At 41.6% G+C, this 23,627-nt stretch overlaps 1 protein-coding gene across 3 annotated transcripts in view; it reads left to right on the top strand.

Moving 5' to 3' along the window:
- MACF1 (microtubule actin crosslinking factor 1) overlaps positions 1-23,627 on the top strand; it is a 402,972-nt gene that overhangs the window by 356,192 nt on the left and 23,153 nt on the right. For all 3 annotated transcript variants that reach the window (NM_012090.5, NM_001394062.1, NM_001397473.1), the window contains 22 exons: positions 645-767; positions 866-967; positions 1,594-1,695; positions 1,789-1,962; positions 2,054-2,209; positions 2,356-2,553; positions 3,088-3,216; positions 4,304-4,477; positions 7,074-7,229; positions 7,334-7,540; positions 7,675-7,794; positions 8,236-8,405; positions 10,694-10,853; positions 11,798-11,992; positions 12,326-12,454; positions 13,349-13,492; positions 14,551-14,739; positions 18,012-18,132; positions 18,728-18,891; positions 20,274-20,436; positions 21,525-21,679; positions 23,254-23,328. In NM_012090.5, coding sequence (NP_036222.3) covers positions 645-767; positions 866-967; positions 1,594-1,695; positions 1,789-1,962; positions 2,054-2,209; positions 2,356-2,553; positions 3,088-3,216; positions 4,304-4,477; positions 7,074-7,229; positions 7,334-7,540; positions 7,675-7,794; positions 8,236-8,405; positions 10,694-10,853; positions 11,798-11,992; positions 12,326-12,454; positions 13,349-13,492; positions 14,551-14,739; positions 18,012-18,132; positions 18,728-18,891; positions 20,274-20,436; positions 21,525-21,679; positions 23,254-23,328 — 3,306 coding nt within the window. The remainder of the gene's footprint in view (positions 1-644; positions 768-865; positions 968-1,593; positions 1,696-1,788; positions 1,963-2,053; positions 2,210-2,355; positions 2,554-3,087; positions 3,217-4,303; positions 4,478-7,073; positions 7,230-7,333; positions 7,541-7,674; positions 7,795-8,235; positions 8,406-10,693; positions 10,854-11,797; positions 11,993-12,325; positions 12,455-13,348; positions 13,493-14,550; positions 14,740-18,011; positions 18,133-18,727; positions 18,892-20,273; positions 20,437-21,524; positions 21,680-23,253; positions 23,329-23,627) is intronic.

Raw genomic sequence — 23,627 nt, forward strand, 5'->3', positions numbered from 1 at the left:
GCCTCCCAAAGTCCTGGGATTACAGGCGTGAGACACTGCACCTGGCCCAGGAGTCTCTTTTTTACCAACAACATTTCTTACCTCATATTGTCCATTTAGCATAAGCCAAGCCTATCTTGATATTATTTCTCTAATTTCTTACTTTTATTTCAGCTATTTTTTCATAGAGAAATTCTTTCCCTCCCCACCTTGGGTCAATACCAATACATGAGCCAATTTTTAGGATCTGGCACAGAGTTTTTTTCAAGATCATAGACCCCAGCACTTCTGTTATACTCTATTGTCAGCACTTAAATTTGTGACTTGTACTGTGTTATTTTACCCTTGATATGTTTCTCTGTAATAGACTTCTAGCTGTTGATTATAATTTCTTTGGAGGCAGGAAGGGGTGAACCTTTGGTAAATTATTGAACCTCACCATACCTTTTCTATAGTATTTTATATATACATATACCTATATGTAATATATATTTTGTATATATGAAAAATAACCATGTAGAGTCTGAAGCTTTAGTGTCCAGATAAGTGAAACTGACAGTTATGTTGAGCATCTGCTATTGATGGGGTATAAATCACATTTGCAAAGTTTGGTAAGTTCTGTTCTGTTTTCTATTTTGGCTTATATTCTATTCGTTTACATGTAGACTATTAAGGAAGAGACAGATGGTCTGCATGAAGAGCTGGAGTTTATTCGGATCCTTGGAGCAGATTTGATTTTTGCCTGTGGAGAAACTGAGAAGCCTGAAGTGAGGAAGAGCATTGATGAGGTGTGGAGAAATGGATGAGGCACTCAGTTAGAACATTAGTGGGCCCAGACTGAAGAGTGGTATTGATTGAAGAATCTGATTGAATGTTTTTCCCCTAGATGAATAATGCTTGGGAGAACTTAAACAAAACATGGAAAGAGAGGCTAGAAAAACTTGAGGATGCTATGCAAGCTGCTGTGCAGTATCAGGACACTCTTCAGGTGAGAGGCCAGGAGGTGACCACCAAGGAAATACAGGTTCTGTTTTTTGCCATTTTTGTCATTTTTGGAATTAAGCACAAAAGTGGATCACCTTCACAGGACTGCAGACCTAAGATAGTGGTGTTTCCACAAATTTAGCCAAAGTTCCCCACTTGTAGTGAAAAAAGTAGCGACATCTGTCTGAATTCTTACTCTTCCTGCCATGTTTATCATTGCCTGCTCATCATAGATTCATTCAGCTACGTTGTGAAGCTGGCCTTACTGTGAAAGTCATTGCTTGCCAGAGGTTCCAAACCCAGGTTATCTTCAAGCACAGTTTGGCACAGTTGCTTCAGAACATCATGAGCTTGCTAGCTGGGATTGAAAAATCTTCACTTTTATTCAAATTTAGTATTTCCAAATTGTAGTTTATTTTGAACATTATCTTGATAATGTTGGCTCCATTATTAAATCACCATATTATTAATATAAAGATCATTATTCTTTATCTGTGCCCCTTACCTGAAATCACAAACAGCACAAGGTGCTTTGATTGATTTATGTCTTCTTATGTTAGCAGAGATAATGCTAATTCTCTCCCAAATTCTTCTGGTTGTTTTTGACTGTTTACTTGTCTTTTGTTCTAGGCTATGTTTGACTGGCTAGATAACACTGTGATTAAACTCTGCACCATGCCCCCTGTTGGCACTGACCTCAATACTGTTAAAGATCAGTTAAATGAAATGAAGGTTTGTATCTGGGTATGGCTTTTGAAGAAGAATTGTTTTATTATAGTTTTTAAAGGCTTGATTTGATGTTAACATTGAGTGTGTCTTTGACAGGAGTTCAAAGTAGAAGTTTACCAACAGCAAATTGAGATGGAGAAGCTTAATCACCAGGGTGAACTGATGTTAAAGAAAGCTACTGATGAGACGGACAGAGACATTATACGAGAACCACTGACAGAACTCAAACACCTCTGGGAGAACCTGGGTGAGAAAATTGCCCACCGACAGGTAAGGCAGGTGGTAGATGACATCAGTGAACTACTCTCCGCTCTTTTCTAATTTCGTATTGAATATTCCCTTTCTGTCTTTTCCTGAGTAGCACAAACTAGAAGGGGCTCTGTTGGCCCTTGGTCAGTTCCAGCATGCCTTAGAGGAACTAATGAGTTGGCTGACTCATACCGAAGAGTTGTTAGATGCTCAGAGACCAATAAGTGGAGACCCAAAAGTCATTGAAGTTGAGCTCGCAAAGCACCATGTAAGTATTTTCATTTTTTCATCTCTAACCCTATTGATTTGAGACCAGATGCTGCCACCAGCAGCCTTTGAATGTTGTGTATATCTTAAGAGAACCAAGTTAGATGATATCCATAGAGATAAATTATGTTGTTCAACATGTTTTAGGTCCTAAAAAATGATGTTTTGGCTCATCAAGCCACAGTGGAAACAGTCAACAAAGCTGGCAATGAGCTTCTTGAATCCAGTGCTGGAGATGATGCCAGCAGCTTAAGGAGCCGTTTGGAAGCCATGAACCAATGCTGGGAGTCAGTGTTACAGAAAACAGAGGAGAGGGAGCAGCAGCTTCAGTCAACTCTGCAGCAGGTACATGTGACATCCAAGTAAGGTAGGAAGAGCTATACAGATAACAGAAAGCCTATCTAAGTCAGAGAGAAGAGATCAATTTGAAAAGCAAAGAATCCCTTATGTCTTGAGGGGAAGGTTAATACTGTGCTGTAACTTATCTAGAAAGAGCAGCTTTTGATTGGGTAGTTCTTTTCTGAATTCATTTCTAGCTCAGTCTCTTTATTCACATTCAAAGTTAGCAGATCTTCACTATAACAGATTCCCTTTTTTTCTTGGATCAAGTCAGGTCTCTTCCTATTCAACAGTACCTTAATCAATAGTCAATTCATCTGATCGTATCAGGCATTTATAATATGTTATAGTGAGGTCTGAAGGATTCTGCTAGATTCTAGCAATAATATTGGCCCCATGCTAATCTAGCAACAGAACAGCTTTGCCAGAGAGCAGCCGAAAATTCCTTCCTCAAGATAAACTCCTCATATCATTTGGAAAGTTGACTTTTAAAGCTGAGAAATGACTACTGACATGGTTGATATATCTTTTTCTCAAAAGGCCCAGGGCTTCCACAGTGAAATTGAAGATTTCCTCTTGGAACTTACTAGAATGGAGAGCCAGCTTTCTGCATCTAAGCCCACAGGAGGACTTCCTGAAACTGCTAGGGAACAGCTTGATACACATATGGTAATAGCAATTTTTTGAAATTGAGCATAAGCATCCCATATTCACTAGCTCCTTTCCAAGTTCACAGTCATAATTAATATGTATCTGGAAATCTACAAAGTAGTGCATTTTTATCAAACATATAGTATAACCTTTGGGGATTGCTGCCTGTTACAGGCTTCTAATACCTTACAGTAGGCAGCAGTAGTGACAGGGAAGGTCAGCTGGAAATTTTGAGTTAATCAGCTTTACTGGCACACATATATTGACTTGAAGATGACAGCATCAAGAAGACAAATATACAACACAGATGTGCTTTCACTTAAGAAGGAAACTACTTAAGGGGGGTTTAGGGAAATCAAATAGTTACCCGACAGTATTTCAAGAATGCATGCTAGAACAAAAAGCAACATAATTTCTAGGCAAATTTTTCATGAAAAGGGGAAATAGATTATTGGAGTCTTTTGAGGGATCTCTAATCCTTAAAAAATGTTTTTCTTGGCCGAGCGCAGTGGCTCACGCCTGTAATCCCAGCACTTTGGGAGGCCGAGGTGGGTGGATCATGAGGTCAGGAGATCAAGACCATCCTGGCTAACATGGTGAAACCTCGTCTCTACTAAAAATACAAAAAATTAGCCGGGCGTGGTGGCGGGCGCCTGTAGTCCCAGCTACTCAGGAGGCTGAGGCAGGAGAATGGTGTGAACCCGGGAGGCGGAGCTTGCAGTAAGCCGAGATCACTGCCACTGCACTCCAGCCTGGGTGACAGAGTGAGACTCCATCTCAAAAAAAAAAAAGTTTTTCTTCTATGGGTGATAAAATTATTTTAATATTTTAATTTGCCACTTGTTATTTAGTAAAATATGTTAATACTTACATTTTAATACAAATGAATTCTAAGTAATCAGTATTTAGTTATTACAATTAATTTTATTATTAAGTATGGTGGGTTTCATTCCCTTATGGCTCAGCACTTGAACTGAATCCAAAAGAATGGCTTGTAATCAAGATGAGCCCTTCCTGGACTTTCCCAGACTCTGCTACAGAATCTATATGTAGGTGTCTTCCAGAGAATTCGTAGAATTGATATCTTTCCTGCCTTTTCTTGTAGGAACTCTATTCCCAGCTGAAAGCCAAGGAAGAGACTTATAATCAACTACTTGACAAGGGCAGACTCATGCTTCTAAGCCGTGACGACTCTGGGTCTGGCTCCAAGACAGAACAGAGTGTAGCACTTTTGGAGCAGAAGTGGCATGTGGTCAGCAGTAAGATGGAAGAAAGAAAGGTACAGTGTATGATCCCCATGTTTGAGTAATTTGCTGAGTGATTGCATGTATAATAATTGCCATCTTATTTATATGAAGATTTTTTGAAGACCAGGGTATTGTAACAGAAGTTGCAGAACTGATTCCATCTGTGTTGAGTTGCATTGATGGTATAAGTTTCTGTTGTTATTTGCTTTTATAATTATTCATTCCTTACCTGTTAAGACATTACTGCCATTATCGCTTCGTGATGGGCTTTATGTCCTATATTAATCACCAATTTGTGTTCTACTTAAAAACAAGGTTTTGCTGGAGTTGGTATCTTGGGGTTGAGAGATTGGGGACAGGGCATATAGGGACTGACGAATAATTCTCCACAAGGAATTTGGTTCCTAACGTAAATGTAGTGTGCAAGGAAATTTACTAGAAATCAGGAGAGAAGTAAATTATATGACCTCTTCCCACTCATCCTCAAAAATCAAATTCTCTTCTCTACAAAATAATGAAAGATGACTAGGGATCAAGGTGTTTGCCCAAAAAGATTATTTTTTATGAGTACAGAGTTTCACTGTATTTTTTGCTGCTCAGATCAAGTATGAAATATATACATACACAAACCTGTTGACCACATTCACTCAATGAATAGTTATTGAGCAAGTGTGTGCCAAGTCCTGTGCCTGATTTATGGTGGAAACACTAAAGACGACCCTATCTTTGGGAAATTAATGAACAGAAGGGCATAAAACACATGAACATCTTGAGAGAAGCATTAATTTCCTAAAAACCTTCTAGCATGGGATTGGGTAATTTGATTATATTAAGAATGGCTAAAGGACCTAAGTGTATGCTAATTCTTGGACAGAGTCAGACCTGGTGGCTCACGCCTGTAATTCCAGCACTTGGGAGGCTGATGCAGGAGGATTGCTTAACACCAGGAGTTTGAGACCAGCCTGGGCAATATAGCAAGACCCCATCTCTACAAAAATACCTAAAAATTAGCCAGGTGTAGTGGCACACGCCTGTAGTCCTAGCTACTTGGGAGGCTGAAGTAGGAGGCTCACTTGAGCCTGGAGGGTTGAGGCTGCAGTGAGCAGTGATGGTGCCCCTGCATTCTAGCCTGGGTGACATCAATAACCTATCTCCAAAAAAAAGAGAAAACAATCCTTGGACAGGCTGTCATCCATAGATCCTGCAGAAGGCAAAGCTAAGATTAAATAAACTGAGACAGATTCCAGCTCATAACCAAGAAATTTTCAGAGAGTTTTCTTAATAGTTGAGCAAAATACCTTAAGACATAGTTGCCCATTATCAGAAATGGTCAGGCAAAAGCTGAGTGTCAAGGATAGTTTATTATTTTGCAGAAACATTACCTTCAGGATCAGTAAAATCATTTATTAAATGTGTGTGGTGCTGTAGTAAGAAAATATAAAGAATATGTAGATATAAAGAATATAAAGATATAAATTAGATATAAAAGTATATCTTTTATATCTATAAAGTAGATATAAAAAATATATAAAGAATATGTGGATAGAATGATGTGGAAAGAATTCCTATCATCTAGGAACTTGTAATATATTAATTTCTAAACATTTCTATATATATTTGAAGTGGATTTCATTTTTCCACCTGATTTGTTTAGATTGGGTTTGTACATTTTTATAACATTTATTGTAATTTTTTTTTTTTTGGTGGGGGGTGGTTACAAAAATAACCTGAAAGCGCAAAGAGGAAAATAGAAATTACAACCCAGTCAGGTAGAATTAACAACAGTTAACGTTTTTGGTGTACATCTTGGAGTTTTTTCTGTGAATATTTTGGAAATACTCATTTTTGTCAGCCTGTCATTTTTACTTTGCCTGCCTAGTAGGGGGGCCAGAGGCAGAAGTCATTACCAAAAGGTTAGTGTAGGTCTCTGAGGATGGAGCTTATGAACTCTGTGGGATTGAAGCGTACTTGTGAGGAGTAGCCTTTTCCCTGAATGAGCTCTTGTTGTTGCCATTCTTAGGTAAATGAAAGTGTCTGAAAATCTACATCTAGTGTTGTCAGATTTTTGCCTAGAATGTCTTGGCTTCTTTCGTTACCTCTTCTTCTTATAGCATAAGCATAATTTTTAGACTCATATTTTCATATGCCATATTTTCTGAAAACATGTATTTAAACAAAGAGTACTACATTGAACATCATCTTCATAGTAAATTGCTTTTCATTTAGCTGTTTTTATACCACAAAAAGTACATTAAAGGAAACTGAAACATTACCCAAAGCAGGTTGTAGATCCTGCAGCTGTCACCACTAAAGGGTCTGTTCACTTACAGTTATTGAATAGTCTTATTCCCGTTCAAGGAAGTGGAGAGTAGCAGAGAAAGGAACTTAGCTGCTTATTGTGCTCTATTTCCTTTTCCATGTACACAGTTCTTGCCCATTTGTTTCAGACACTAACATTAAAATGTCCCCTTCTTTACAAATAAAGCATGTTTGGACGTTGATTAAATGAGGCTTCCTTTTTAGAGGTCATTTCATTTGTTGTACAATTCATGCCTTTGTCGCTGAGCCTATAATTCCTGAAATTGGCGCTTTTTCTTTCTGTGTGTGTGTGTTTTACTTGAAATTCAGTCAAAGCTGGAAGAGGCCCTCAACTTGGCAACAGAATTCCAGAATTCCCTACAAGAATTTATCAACTGGCTCACTCTAGCAGAGCAGAGTTTAAACATCGCTTCTCCACCAAGCCTGATTCTAAATACTGTCCTTTCCCAGATAGAAGAGCACAAGGTAAGTATGATATTATGATGCTGCATTCTTTTTGAAAGCACTAATTGAAAGAAATGCCCCTTTATCTTATCTTAAGCTAAAAAAGAGCACTATTGTTCCCTCAGGTTTTTGCTAATGAAGTAAATGCTCATCGAGACCAGATCATTGAGCTGGATCAAACTGGGAATCAATTAAAGTTCCTTAGCCAAAAGCAGGATGTTGTTCTGATCAAGAATTTGTTGGTGAGCGTGCAGTCTCGATGGGAGAAGGTTGTCCAGCGATCTATTGAAAGAGGGCGATCACTAGATGATGCCAGGAAGCGGGCAAAACAAGTAAGTTGGGGAAGAAAGATACTAATTCACTGAAGAGTCTTGGGCTGCATGTATTGAGTCTCTGGGATGATTCTCAAACGTGCTGTATAGTGTGTATATTCATTCCTGTTAACTTATTTCTTATGTAATTTTAGTTCCATGAAGCTTGGAAAAAACTGATTGACTGGCTAGAAGATGCAGAGAGTCACCTGGACTCAGAACTAGAGATATCCAATGACCCAGACAAAATTAAACTTCAGCTTTCTAAGCATAAGGTAAAGCAGTTAATTGCTCTTAGGTCCCAAGCCATAGTATTCGCTAAAGCTTGTATCTTGCCAAAAATAAAAATCAGAGCTAGTAAAAAGAAAACCAATTGGTTAATGTTTAAAAGTCAAAATGATGAAGCCAGGGTTCCATTTTATATCTAGATGGTCTAATCATGATATTTGCTCATTTAAATAACAGTTTAAGGAAAGTAGTTATGGGAGTAACTAGTTAAAACTGTAGGCTTTCACAAATTGTCAGGCACTTCTATATATGGTATAAACAAAAAATTATAAATTTCTTAAGGATAAGCTATGGTTAATTTTAGTTCAAAAAAAGTGGTGATATTCATACTTTATTTGGTTTCTAGCCTGAAAACTCAAATTCTTTTGTTCCAAATCAAGATGTCGTCTGACTTTTAACACTTTTTTCTTTTCTTTCTGGAAACATAGGAGTTTCAGAAGACTCTTGGTGGCAAGCAGCCTGTGTATGATACCACAATTAGAACTGGCAGAGCACTGAAAGAAAAGACTTTGCTTCCCGAAGATAGTCAGAAACTTGACAATTTCCTAGGAGAAGTCAGAGACAAATGGGATACTGTTTGTGGCAAGTCTGTGGAGCGGTGAGCATGAATGTCCCCTTCAGGGGTCTAACCGGGATCCCAAAAGCAAGAGGTTCTTACCAGATTCTATAAAATGGTGATAAAGCTAATGCATCAGTAAGAGGTTTTGTACCATCTTAACACCACCAGTTAGTTCAAAGACTGTTATAATTTAAATAAAATGTGTAAAAATTCTCATTTTAAACTTGAACCTTATTGTATTAGAGAGAGGCCTATAAAATCAAACCAACAATAATAGATCAGTAACTCAAAAGTATTTGTAAATCATCAATTTGTAATACCAACAACTGTCTTATTGACTGCTCTTGGACACTCCAAAGCCTCTACATGCATTACCTCATTTAACCATAATGATACCTGACCTTTGCTGGGCAATTACTACTGAATATGTACCAAACAGTAGCTGATAATCATTTAATCCTCATAACCACTGAGGTGGGTACCATTTTTATTCCATTGTACAGATGAGAAAATGACCATAAAGAGGTTCTTAACTCCCCTAAGGTCACTCAGCTACCCTGTTGGCAGAGCTGAGGTTTAAACCATGGCAGTTTGGTTCTAAAAGTTGTACTTTTATCTATTTGTACCCACTATGCCATGCTAAATATTACAATATTGCTACCCTATTTGTACTTTTTTTTGTTTGTTTGTTTGAGACAGAGTCTCACTCTGTCACCCAGGCTGGAGTGCAGTGGCGCGATCTCGGCTCACTGCAAGCTCCGCCTCCCAGGTTCACGCCATTCTCCTGCCTCAGCCTCCCGAGTAGCTGGGACTACAGGCACCCGCCACCACGCCTGGCTAGTTTTTTGTATTTTTAGTAGAGAAGGGATTTCACTGTGTTAGCCAGGATGGTCTCAATTTTCTGACCTCGTGATCCACCCGCCTCAGCCTCCCAAAGTGCTGGGATTACAGGCGTGAGCCACCGCGCCTGGCATTTTTTTTTTTTTTTGTCATGTTGAGACAGGGTCTAGCTCTCTGGCCCAGGCTGGAGTGCAGAACTTACTGCAGCCTCCAACTCCTGGGCTCAAGGGATCCTCCCACCTCAGCCTCTTGAGTAGCTCAGACTATAGGCATGTGCCACCATACCTGGTTAATGTTTTTTGTTTTTGTTTTTGAGATGGAATCTCCCTCTGTCATCCAGGCTGGAGTGCAGTGGCACTGTCTCGGGTCACTGCAACCTCCATCTCCCCGGTTCAAGCAATTCTTCTTCCTCAGCCTCCCAAGTAGCTGGGACTACAGGTGCACACCACCATGCCCAGCTAATTTTTTTTAATATTTTTATTAGAGACGGGGTTTCACCATATTGGCCAGGCTGGTCTGGAACTCCTGACCTCATGATCCACCTGCCTCGGCGTCCCAAAGTGCTGGGATTACAGGTGTCAGCCACCACGCCCAGCCATTGTTTTTTATTTGAGTAGAGACAAGGTCTTGCTATTGTCCAGGCTGTTCTGTAACTCCTGACCTCAAGTGATCCTCCCACCTTGGCCTCCCAGAGTGCTGGGATTGCAAGTGTGAGCCAACACACTTGGCCTGTACTCCAATTTTTTTTTTTTATGAGGTGACTGAGGTTCAAGGAGATGAAGAAACAGCCTAGGGTCACACAACTGATACAGAGCTAGGAGTTGAACTGATTCCAGATCACTACCAAAACTATCATCTTTTACTTAGAGTGGTATATGAGGTGATTAACACAGACCTTGGGTTGTTAGGGTGTGCCTGTGTGTCACTGGGCTATAAGATGCCTAAAGGGTATCTCTACCTGTCCCCTGTGCTACCCTTAATCCATTCTAGAGGGTGGTTTGATTTAAAATGTCTCACCATCTCTCAGTCACTTTTTACTCTATTTCTTTTTTTTTTTTTTTTTTTGAGATGGAATCTCGCTCTGTCTCCCAGGCTGGAGTGCAGTGGTGCAATCTCGGCTCACTGCAAGCTCTGCCTCCCGGGTTCGCGCCATTCTCCTGCCTCAGCTTCCCGAGTAGCTGGAACTACAGGCACCCACCACCATGCCCGGCTAATTTTTTGTATTTTTAGTAGAGACAGGGTTTCACCGTGTTAGCCAGGATGGTCTCGATCTCCTGACCTCGTGATCTGCCCACCTCGGCCTCCCAAAGTGCTGGGATTACAGGTGTGAGCCACCGCGCCCGGCCTTTACTGTATTTCTAACTGTTCTAACATAGAAGTCACTCTCTATATAGGGTTCAAGCAATATTCCCTTTCAGCGAGGCAGAATTGTGGGCCATTTGTAAAAGGAATCCCTAAAAATGGTAGCGTTTGTGTGCATTTCTCAGGCAGCACAAGTTGGAGGAAGCCCTGCTCTTTTCGGGTCAGTTCATGGATGCTTTGCAGGCATTGGTTGACTGGTTATACAAGGTGGAGCCACAGCTGGCTGAGGACCAGCCCGTGCACGGGGACCTTGACCTCGTCATGAACCTCATGGATGCACACAAGGTAGGGGTGAGGTCTGGGCTACATTGGAGTGCAGTGGGTCTTCTGTATATGACTGCCTAGGGTCTTCTACATATGACTGCCTCTGCCCTTCTTTCTAGGGGAGAAAGAGAGCCTGACAGTTGCTTTGTGTGTTTAAACAAACTGTTGCTGAGATTCTGCATTAGTCACAACGAATTTACCAAAATTGGTTTGATTCAGATTTGGCAATGTGTAAACTTCACTTCAAGGTTGCGCCTCTTCCTGTTTGTTTCTCTCAGTTGAGTCACAAAATGGATCTAAATTCCAACGGAAACCCATAAGATAGCCATTTCCACTGACTCCTAAAATGGAAATGAGTGATTTTTTTTTTAAACCACTTCTGAACCTAACAATCCTAACACCAGGCACGCCAATATTTAACATAATCTCTATCTGTCATGTTGAATTATGTAATATCCTCCTGTTTCAGCACAAGCATTTAACTTTACCTTGAAATTACAACAGATTCTTATTATGTGCACAGCAGATGTTTTTATTTCCCATAATTCTGGAAACGTTAGTATAATGGTTACCATTTTACAGATGAAGAAACTGGGCCTTAAGCAACTTTTCAAAATTATGTATCTCCTAAATGCCTGAGCTAGCATTTACAGCCACATTTTCTGGTTGTTTTTTTCTTTCTTTTTTCTTTTTTTCCCCTTGAGATTGGGTCTCGCCATGTTGCCCAGACTGGTCTTGAACTCCTGGGCTCAAGCAGTCCTCTCATCTCGGCTTCCCAAAATGCTGGGATTACAGGCATGAGCCACTGCGCCCGGCCTGGTTGTTTTTTCTTATGCATTGCTCTGCCTCCCTCTATGCATAAAAGACACATGATTAGAACCTACCAAGAAAATTATTATTTCCCAGTGGTTTCTTGGACTCAAAACATTCCTTGAACAAACAAATTCTCCTATTTTCTTTTCTAGGTTTTCCAGAAGGAACTGGGAAAGCGAACAGGAACCGTTCAGGTCCTGAAGCGGTCAGGCCGAGAGCTGATTGAGAATAGTCGAGATGACACCACTTGGGTAAAAGGACAGCTCCAGGAACTGAGCACTCGCTGGGACACTGTCTGTAAACTCTCTGTTTCCAAACAAAGCCGGCTTGAGCAGGCCTTAAAACAAGTAAGGGATATTTGCTGTCCCAACCCAAGGGATAGATCTGAGTGGGTTTATTTGGTTTTTCTTTTACTAGAATCTGTTCCAGTCAGTCTTGAAATAAGTATAACAGAGTTGAAAATTGATATTCTGAATGTTCTATAAAATTTTAATATTCATTTTGAGAAATAATGAATTCAGTTGATTTTCAAAGATCTACAAATGAAAGATAACCTTTGTGGAGTTTTGATGAGGCCATGAAATGTCTGAATGAACACTGGACCCTTTCCCTAGCATGTCCCAGTATCTAGGTCCTTGGCTGCAGAGAGAGGTTGAATCTTTTGTGCTTGGTTATTTCAGGCGGAAGTGTTTCGAGACACAGTCCACATGCTGTTGGAGTGGCTTTCTGAAGCAGAGCAAACGCTTCGCTTTCGGGGAGCACTTCCTGATGACACAGAGGCCCTGCAGTCTCTCATTGACACCCATAAGGTAATCCAGCCTTGGGGTTTGGTGACCTCATGCTACCTACCACCTTGAGGGCTGCCTACCACTAAATGAAAGCAACTTTTTCTTGGAAATATCAGAGCTCACATGAAAAGGAACAAAACCAGAGTGGCCCTAGCTCATTGGTTTAGCAGGAATGAAAGGGAAGCGACTGATGGGTTTTTTGACACCTTAAACAGTAACATTCATTCTTATAAAAGTAATATATGTTGGTTGTAACAAGTTTTTTAAACATGGTATTAAGAAAAATGTTGACTATTTCATCTTCTTTACTCCTCACCTGCATACGCCTTTGTTTGCCTTATGTTACCAGCTTTAGGCCCTGATCTGATCCCCCAGCACCACTTACTAAGCTGTAGAGTATGGTGCAGTGTCTGGGGTCTCAGTCTGTCCTAATGAGGTGGGAAATGTTTCCCTTTTTAAATTTTTATGTTATCCACTCAGAGATTTTAATCATGGATTTGTTATTATATTCTGTTATGGGTATTTTTTAAAATCATGGTTTTTACAACTATAATTATATTTTTCCAATACAAATATGTTTACCAACATGAAATGAAATAGGATATAAATGAGAGTAAATGAAAAATGGGACTAAAAAAGAGAGAAACTAACTCGAATGGGAAAAGGGGGGCATACCTCTGTGTGTCCTATTCTTTGTTGTCATCTCCACCAGAGAAAGTCATTCTTGTGTAAACCCCTCACCTTCCCACATCTTTTAGAATGAAAATGCCATAAATAACTATACAGGCTTTTAGAGGTCTGCGTTAACACATGGAGGAAAAAGAAAACATTGAAATTTATCCCCCCTCAGTGTAAACTAACAGTGCTGCTAATGTAGACTTTTTACGTTTTTGTTTTCAAATCTTTTTTGTTTAGGAATTCATGAAGAAAGTAGAAGAAAAGCGAGTGGACGTTAACTCAGCAGTAGCCATGGGAGAAGTCATCCTGGCTGTCTGCCACCCCGATTGCATCACAACCATCAAACACTGGATCACCATCATCCGAGCTCGCTTCGAGGAGGTGAGTCCCTGGTTCAGAGGAGGACTGCACACGCCCAGTAAACTATCACTATAGTATAGTATAGTATTTTTCCCCCAGGTAAGGAATCTTTCACTCACTGTGAATAACTCAGCAAAAATTAAGTTAACATTTTAGTAAAGACTGTTTTCTTGGTAATGTGTGGCAACCTGGAGGAGTAGTGTTGGCATAGTGCTATGTTAATGTGACTTCCAGTGGACATGTTGTGTAGTGTCTGCTCCTTCCTGGGAAATCCTGTGTTAACAGGATGTACAGCTGACCCTTGAACAATGTGTATTTCAACTGCACAGGTCCACTTATATGCGGTTATTGTTCAGTAAATACAGTCAGCCCTCCATGTTGGTGGGGTCCACATTCACAGCCAAACATGGATAGAAAATACAGTATTCACGGGAAGCGAAGCCCATGTGTGCAGAGGGCAGACTTTTGCAGGTTGCACAAAACCAATTATAGGCCTTGAGTATGCATGGATTTTAGTATCCACAGGTGGTACTGGGACCAGTCCCCCATGGATACCAAGGAACAACTATACTAGATTTTCTTTCAGGAGGGCTGATATTTTATTCCAGCTCTTATCCCAGTTGTCACTGGGGTAATAGTGAAGCCTCTTGACTGTTTGGGTGGTCTCTCCTCTAAAAAGTCATTGTGTTGGCCGGGAGCAGTGGATCACGCCTATAATCCTAGAACTTTGGGAGGCTTGAGGCGGTCAGATTACCTGACTCAGGAGTTCAAGACAAGCCTGGGCAACATGGTGAAACCCATCTCTACTAAAATACAAAAAATTAGCTGGGTATGGTGGCACAAGTCTGTAATCCCAGTTACTTGGGAGGCTGAGGCAGGAGAGTCACTTGAACCCGGGAGGCAGAGGTTGCAGTGAGCCAAGATTGTGCCACTACACTCCAGTGTGGGTGACAGAGCGAGAGTCTGTCTCCAAAAAAATAAAATAAAAAGCCATTATGAAAATCAGATGAAAAAGGGCTTTGGAAACAAAGGGGGTATGCTTGACTGAAAGAGGCCATGGTTTCCTTCTTTTTCCACAGGTCCTGACATGGGCTAAGCAGCACCAGCAGCGTCTTGAAACGGCCTTGTCAGAACTGGTGGCTAATGCTGAGCTCCTGGAAGAACTTCTGGCATGGATCCAGTGGGCTGAGACCACCCTCATTCAGCGGGATCAGGAGCCAATCCCGCAGAACATTGACCGAGTTAAAGCCCTTATCGCTGAGCATCAGGTATCTTAACCTCACTGTGTGATCACTGGTGTTTTCCGTGTTGGGCATGGAGACCATCTCTGTTGCCCTGTGTATATGTTTTTAAATGGCTGCTTAACACATTACCACAGACTTAGCACTGTAAAACAACACATACTTACTTACCTCATAGTTTCTGTGCTTCATATACCTGGGCATGAGTTGACTAAGTCCTCTTCCTGGAGTCTCCCCAGGCAGAAATCAAGGTGTCAGCCAGTACTGCAGTCTCATCTGGAGTTCAGGGTCCTCTTTTAGGCTCACTCAGGATGTTGGCAGAATCCAGATCCTGGTGGATGTAAGACTGAGGTCTCTACTTTCTTGCTGGCTCTCAGCTAGGAGTTGCTCTTGCCTTCTAGAGGCCCCCTCAGGTCTTAGCCACACAGCCAGCCGGAGAAACTGTCCAAAGTGCTCTATGGAGTCTTGAAATGTAATGAAGAATGAAATGTAATTAAGGGAGTGAATATTCCATCATTTGCCCACACTCAAGGGAGGGGGATTACATAGAGTGTGCATACAGGAGTGGGAATCCTGGGGGCCTTTTTAGAAGTCTGCCTGCCACAGCCTGTTTTTATTGACCATCATTTGAGCCAGGGTCCCACTGGTCCCCATTATACCTGGTTCAGAAAGCTCTCTCGCATGAACCCAGTGGTCAGTGAAGGTGCACATTAGACTAAACTGAATGGAGGAAAGCTCAGGTGGGCCATCTTCATAATATATCCTTAAGAGGCAAATACTATTTTTAACCATAATCATTTATACTGAATTCAAGCGTGAATGTTGATTAGTTATACTGTAGACTATATGGTCTTTTTAGTTTATATAAACAATTACCCCAGCAAGTGAGAACTCACTATACAGATAGTCCCTGACTTACAGTCTCTCAACTTTATCATGGTTCAAAGGTTATACATATTCAGTAGAAACTATACAATTAGAGGCCAGGCGTGGTGGCTCACCCCTGTAATCCCAGCACTTTGGGAGGCCAAGGGGGGCAGATCACTTGAGGTGAAGAGTTTGAGACCAGCCTAGCCAACATGGTGAAACCCTATCTCTACTAAAAATATAAAAATTAGTCGGGTGTGGTTGTGGTTGCCTGTAATCCCAGCTACTCAGGCGGCTGAGGCAAGAGAATCACTTGAACCAGGGAGGCAGAGGTTGCAGTGAGCTGTGATCGCACCATTGCACTCCAGCCTGGGCGACAGAGCAAGACTCCATTTCAAAAAAAAAGCACTTTGAGTGCCCATCCAACCATTCTTTCACTTTGATTACATGAGATAGTCAACACTTTATTATAAAATAGGCTTTGAGTTAGATGATTTTGCCTAACTGTAGGCTAACGTGTTTTGAGCATGTTTAAGGTAGGCCAGGCTAAGCTACGATGTTCCATAGTTTAGGTGTGTTATATTTTCAGCTTAACGATGGGTTTGCCAGGATGTAACTTCATCGTAAGTCGAGGAGCACCTGTCCTTCCTGTGGGATGTACCTCCTCTCTGAGAGATTATCTTCTTCCTATTCAGTTCTTCTCCTTTCTGTTTTCCTCTCTCTCCTCTATGTCTTCAGTCTCTCCCTGTTTATTCTTTTCTCTAAAGCTTCCAGACATGTCCTTCCAACCCAGAGTTCCCCTCCTTTTTCAGCTACGCTTCTTGTTCCCTGTCTCATCTCCTTTTTTCCCATCACTCCCCAAGTCCCTGTGGTCTGGCTGACACTGTTCTGGTCACATTCTACTGGCTAAATCCAACAGAGTTTTTTCAGTCTTTATTTTGTTTGACATGTAACCTAGCTGGCTCTTCATCCCTTCCCAAAACTTCCCTTTTGACTTCTGTGTCCTTTAATCTTTGTGTTTTCCTCTGATCTCTCTGACCGTTCCTTTTTAGCCTTTTTAGCTGGTTCCTCTTCCCTGCCTATTCATCAGTGTTGTTCCCTGACGTCTCATTCTTGATGCTCTCCTCACTCTGCTAAGATTTATCTGGTCTAACAGCTTTAGCTATTACCTATAAAGCTTCTGCATCTTTTTCATCTTCAGCACTATCATCTCCTAAAGTCCAGACATACAGTAAACTAGAAGCAGTTCTAAAATTTCCACTTTATCTTTGCCCCCTTGCCTGACGTCATTTGTCCATTCCAGATCTGCCCCCCCTTTCCTCATTCAGAGGCCTGTGATGTCTGGAGTTCCTCCTTTTCCTCACATCTAGCCACTCACCAGGGCTTGTCAGTCCCACTTTCAAAATACCTCTTGGTTCCATCTTTCCTGCCCTGGCTCTGGCCCTCACCATGTTTTGCCTCAGTTGCTGCAATGGTTTCTTAACCTGTCTTCTCACTGCTAGCCACTCCCCATCCCACACTTACCCCCACCCCCACATCACTCCATGTTTTACACTGAAGCCAGAGTGATAGCTGTAAAGCATGGGTCTGATCATGTCTCTTACCTGGATCGAAATCCTTCAGCTGCCCCCTGTTGCTCTCAGAATAAATGGCCAACCCTTAGCCTGACACAGAAGCCTTTCGTGATCTGTCTCCTGCCTGCCTCTCCAACCCTGCCTCTTGCCATTCCTCTGATTGCATCCTCTGCCCAGCCAGTGAGTGGAGGGGTCCTGGTCACAGCACTGTCAGGCATCCCTGTCTCTGTTTGGGTTGCACCCTCTTCCAGGACTGCCTTCCCACCATTTGTTGACTGTTTCTTCATTGCTCAGTGTGTCAGTCCGTTTGCATTGCTATAAAGGAATTCCTGAGACTGGGTAATTTATAAAGAAAATAGGTTTATTTTGGCTTACGGTTCTGCAGGCTGTACGGGAAGCATGGTGCCAATATCTGCTTCTGGTGAGGGCTTCAGGAAGCTTAGAATCATGGTGGAAGGCAAAGGGGAGCCAGCGTGTTACATGGCAAGAGAGGGAGAGAGAGAAAGAGGAGGAGATAGCAGGCTCCTTTTAAACAGCCAGTTCTCATGTGAACTAACAGCAAGAACTCACTCATTACCATGGGGAGGGCACCAAGGCCATTCATGAGGAATTTGCCCCCATAACTCAATCACATCCCGTTAGACCCCACCTCCAGCATTGGAAATCACATTTCAACATGAGATTTGGAGGGGACAAATATCCAAACTACATCCCTCAGTAACTCAACTCAGGCACCAGCCTCCACACAGCCTTTCCTGCCACCACAGGCCGTAAAGTACCCATCCTAGCTCTTCCTTTGCCCCCATAAGAGTAAAAATACAATATTTAACTCTTTTTCCTATTTTTTGTGTTTAACAGACATTTATGGAGGAGATGACTCGCAAACAGCCTGACGTGGACCGGGTCACCAAGACATACAAAAGGAAAAACATAGAGCCTACTCACGCGCCTTTCATAGAGAAATCCCGCAGCGGAGGCAGTATGTTTCCAGCCCCCTGTGTTAGGATGCTTCATTCCTGCTAATTGAGGATGAGCACTTTCCAAATGCCTATCAAAAAAAATTATATTCCATTTTCAAAAACCGTGTTGGTTTTGAACCAAAATCTCTCATTTTTGAAACTCACTTTTCTTACATTGACAGACAGTAGCTGTACTCCATATTCTTTGGTATGATTGGTATGAAATTACGAGGTGGTTAAGCTTATTTTTTAACAGTGGCCTTTCCATTGTTTTGGTTATCAGCCCTAGCTGTTTACATTTGGCTTGTACTAATTTAATCAACACAACAGCTTCTACAGAATATGTTGCTTTTTTAGTTGAGTTAACGTGTCATCAGCTCACTAAGGTAGGACAGAATTGCTTGGAGATATGTAGGCAGCAGGTAAGTATGTGCTGGGAGGATCAGTACTTTTGGAATTAGTACACCTCCGTATCTAAATATTGCCAAGTCCCGTATTTCTTTTCTCAGTTATTGACTGGATATTATTATAAAGATCTTCTAGGTTTATACATACAGCTATTTCTCTTTGTATACTAACCAGCTGTTCTAATCTTGTGATTATTTTTCCTTTTAGGGAAATCCCTAAGTCAGCCAACCCCTCCTCCCATGCCAATCCTTTCACAGTCTGAAGCAAAAAACCCACGGATCAACCAGCTTTCTGCCCGCTGGCAGCAGGTGTGGCTGTTAGCACTGGAGCGGCAAAGGAAACTGAATGATGCCTTGGATCGGCTGGAGGAGGTAATGCCCTGCTGAGTGGCCTTCCCTGAAACAAAGTGCTTTTTTCAATCAAAACACAGCCCTTCTGAGGCTCTCTTAATGTGAACCTTGTGTCTTAATTTACTTTTTCACAATAGAAACAGACCTATACCAAGCCAGTACTCATTCTTTGAGGCCCCTGAATGAGAAAAGACACATGTGTAAGAAAACCGTTTGTGACAGAGTAGGCTAAAGCTTCTAGGTGTGGAAAGCAAGAAAACAGCCAGTCCATAATGAGGGCCAGGACCTGATCTGCCTCAGCATCTTGCTGTGGTTGGGAATCAGGAACAGAACTTTGGAAATTTATCTCCAGATATGTAGCATAGCACAAAAATGACCCTTGTTGAGCCTTTCATGTAAAAACAGATGCTACAGAATTATGAAATAGGAGTAATTTTTAATGATTTTGTTATTAGTCTTCACTTGATCATGAGAAGCAACTCTATTTTGAAGTGTCATTACCCAGTATAAAAAATATAGTACTATGCTTCCTAGTTTCTAAAACAAGCCTCTAATATCTTTTGTATTTTTTTATTTGTGCATATCAAAGCAGCTATGCCTGGAAGTGAGTGTTCTGTGTTTTGTTTATTTTTTCCTTAGGTCAGTTGACTTTTAAGCTTATTGGGTTCTTGGTGCTTTTTTCCCCCATTCCTTCTAACTTTGGAGTTTGAAAGACCAAGGGGAAACTGCTGCACTCTTTAAGTCATTTTGAGTGTATATCATTAACGTAGACTTAAGTAGCTGAAAATTGTCTTGCCCACTGCATAGGCCTGCTGTTTTCCATCAAGGCCAAATATTTAACATGGAGGTCAGATGGGCAATTTGCTCTCTGGTGCCATTCCAAAGAAACATGCTTGGATACAACATTGGGTTCCCAATGCTTCCATCCAGAACTCAGATTTTCTCATTGAAATCTCAGAAGATAGTGGTAAACACGAGCCTCCTGATATGAGCCCTATGTGTGATTATAATGCCTTTCAAAACAACATAATCGAGGAGTGCTAAGGACCTCCCTTCTGGGTTAGAATCCATTTCCTTGCATCTAAGAGAGTGATCCTTTGAAAAGCCCAAAGGGAAAGCAAGGCTGGCTTCACCCATTCTCATTCTGTGTGCTCCATATTTTCCATGGTGATTCAGTTATTGTTTCTCTTGCTATTCCATTATACCATAGCTCGTGTAAATAGTCATGGCTTTAAGTGAAAGAGCCAGATTGTGCCTTCACAAAAGAAGCAAACACATAGATTTCATTGTTGATGGCCCCTGGAAGCATGGCTTTACTGAATGTCTGAAAGTTTGGGTATGCTCTGGGCAGCTTTTGAGGGCCCAAAAAATAAATCTTATTGACACTTCTGATTTCTGTGTAGTTGAAAGAATTTGCCAACTTTGACTTTGATGTCTGGAGGAAAAAGTATATGCGTTGGATGAATCACAAAAAGTCTCGAGTGATGGATTTCTTCCGGCGCATTGATAAGGACCAGGATGGGAAGATAACACGTCAGGAGTTTATCGATGGCATTTTAGCATCCAGTGAGTCTAGTCATCATTCCAAACATGGGTCACACCTGGATTCCTTGCACTTTGTAGAAGCTGTGATATTCTAGCTAAACAGTCTTTCTGAAGCTGGCCAGGAGCTTGGCTCACACCTGTAATTCCAGCACTTTGGGAGGCAGGTGGCAAAGGCATGGTGGCACACTTGCAGTCCTAGCTACTTGGGAGGCTGAGGTGAATCACCTGAGCCTGGGGAGGTCAAGGCCTGCAGTAAGCTGTAATCGTGCCAGTGAACTCTAGCCTGGGCAACAGAGTGAGACTCTGTCTCAAAAAAAAAAAAAAAAAAGACAGTGGTTAACCAGAGGTTTTCAGCTGGGAAACAATATGATTTGGTCTGTGTTTTAGTAAATCACTGTGACTACTATAAATAGTCACACTTCCCTTTGTATAGCAATTTGTTTAGAATCTAAGACAATAATCTAAACATAGGAAAACTTCATGCTATTCCAAACTGTCACTATTCTGAAATAATCTAAATATCCAATAATTGTGGAGTGGATGAGTATATTCTTGAGTTGAGTGGTAGGACTGTGGGTGGTTGTAATATTATGTTTATGCCTTTTGGTATATTTGAAATGGGGAATATTACCTTTTTTCGTTGCATTTGGGGTAGGGGAGTCTATAAGTGGATATGTATTATTTTTCAGGAAAAATCAAGACATAAATTTTTTTGCTCTTAAGAAGTATTTCTGGCCAGGCGTGGTGGCTCGCGCCTGTAATCCCAGCACTTTGGGAGGCCAAGATGGGTGGATCACTTGAGGCCAGGAGTTCAAGACCAGCCTGGCCAACATGGCAAAACCTCGTCTCTACTAAAAATACAAAAAAAATTAGCCGGGCCTGGTGACAGGCGCTTGTATTCCCAGCTACTCTGGAAGCTGAGGCAGGAGAATCACTTGAACCAGGGAGACGGAAGTTGCAGTGAGCCGAGATTGCACCACTGCACTCCAGCCTGGGCGACAGAGCAAGACCTTGTCTCAAAAAAAAAAAAAAAAAAAAAAAAAAATCTATAACCGCCAACCGAACAAGTACCCCTCTTAATGTTTCAAAATATGATTCCTTTTCTCCAGAGTTCCCCACCACCAAGTTAGAGATGACTGCTGTGGCTGACATTTTCGACCGAGATGGGGATGGTTACATTGATTATTATGAATTTGTGGCTGCTCTTCATCCCAACAAGGATGCGTATCGACCAACAACCGATGCAGATAAAATCGAAGATGAGGTAAGGGAAATAATTATATTTTGAGTACACTTCTGGCTGTAGGTTTGTAATATCCTGAATTTGGTTGGGTTCAGTGATCATATTAGCCTTTGACTTGTCTGTTGGGAGATAATTATTTGGAGTTCTATTTTGAGATCTCTTTTTGGATAGCATTTCAAAGAGTCCCAGAGGATCTCTGACATCTGAGCTCTAGCTCAGGCTAGATGGATTACTCAAGTGAGTCATGTCTGTGTGGTGCTCTGAAGTTTACAGAGAACCTTTGCAGGGCAGCATACTCATCCTGGTTCACTCGTCCTGTGTTTGGGATGGACTCATCTCACTCTTGAGCATGCTGCCTGGAATCTAGGGAAATGGTCTACCAGTGTAGCATTTAAGGGTTGAAATGGACTGGGCATGGTGGCTTACATCTGTAGCTCTAGCACTTTGGGAGGCCAACACGGGAGGATCACTGGAGCCCAGGAGTTCGAGACCAGCCTGGGCAACATAGTATGATTCTGTCTGTCCCCCCCGCCAAAAAAAAAAAAAAAATTAGCCAGGTGTGGTGGCAAGTGCTTGTAGCCCCAGCTACTCAGGAGACTGAGGTGGAAGGATCACTTGAGCATGGGAGATCAAAGGTGTGGTAAGCTGTGATCATGCCACTACACTCCAGCCTGGGCAACAGAGCAAGACTTGTCTTAAAAAATAAAAACAAATGTTTAAAAGGGGAGTAAAATGTAATGTTTAAAATGGTGTATACCCATCATGCTTTCTGCCTTGTTAAGAACTACCACATTGAAACTGCCAAATTTATTAGTGCCATCTAGAAACCCTAACATCTGTTGATAACAGATCTTGGTAAGGGAGAGGTGCTGGGACAGGTCTTAGGAGTGGCCCTGGAACACACCAGGACTGACTTCCAGGGAATCTTGGGCTCCTAGGGTGAAATTTAAAGCAGTTCATAATTTGCTTTATTAATAATTTGATTTTGATGCAAGCATATTAGCACTTTTCTCTGAAGGAGTTTTGAAGCAGGAATAAAGAATGTGTTGTATAGTCACTTGGGAATTTTCTTTCATGCCTTTTCTCAGTGTCTCAATTAGTTCACTTAGTAAGAAGAACATATACTAATTTGGAACAGACAATAAATGTATATGTCAAAAGCCTGAAATGCCTAAAAAGTAAATAATGAGCTGTGCGTGGTGGCTCACGCCTGTAATCCCAGCACTTTGGGAGGCTGAGGCAGGCGGATCACCTGAGGTCGGGAGTTCAAGGCCAGCCTGACCAACATGAAGAAACCCCATCTCTACTAAAAAAATACAAAAAATTAGCTGGGCCTGGTGGTGCGTGCCTATAATCCCAGCCACTTGGGGGGCTGAGGTAGGAGAATTGTTTGAACCAGGAGGCGGAGGTTGTGGTGGAGCCGAGATCGCACCATTGCCCTCCAGCCTGGGCAACAAGAGCGAAACTCCATCTCAAAAAAAAAAAAAAATGTAAATAATGAATAGCCTCCCTGTTAATGTATAAAAATCTTTGTTTCTCTGAATAGGAAGTTTTGCTCTACCCTTTACACTTTCCTTTTTGTTCACACCCAATAGGTTACAAGACAAGTGGCTCAGTGCAAATGTGCAAAAAGGTTTCAGGTGGAGCAGATCGGAGAGAATAAATACCGGGTAAGGAAGAGAAAAAGCAGTCCTTTGTTGTGGTGGTTTCTCATATGTGGCTGATCCCACCTTTTCCTCCTGATGCTTAGAGGCCCAGAGCCCATCGGACTTGAGATGTGGTCACTCTCTGACCTCATCTCTATAGATGCCAAGTGTCAGGTACCCTGTTACATCTGAAAACTAGTCCCATATCTACCTAGATAGTAGTAGTTTGTATTTAAGTTTTAAGATAGGAGATATTTCAGAGCTGTCACTTCACATCTGACAAAGTTCCTAGGGGGATGAAGGTACCTTTGGAAACAATTATA

This window comes from Homo sapiens, chromosome 1 (genome assembly GCF_000001405.40).
Source record: "Homo sapiens chromosome 1, GRCh38.p14 Primary Assembly".
Lineage (NCBI taxonomy): Eukaryota > Metazoa > Chordata > Mammalia > Primates > Hominidae > Homo > Homo sapiens.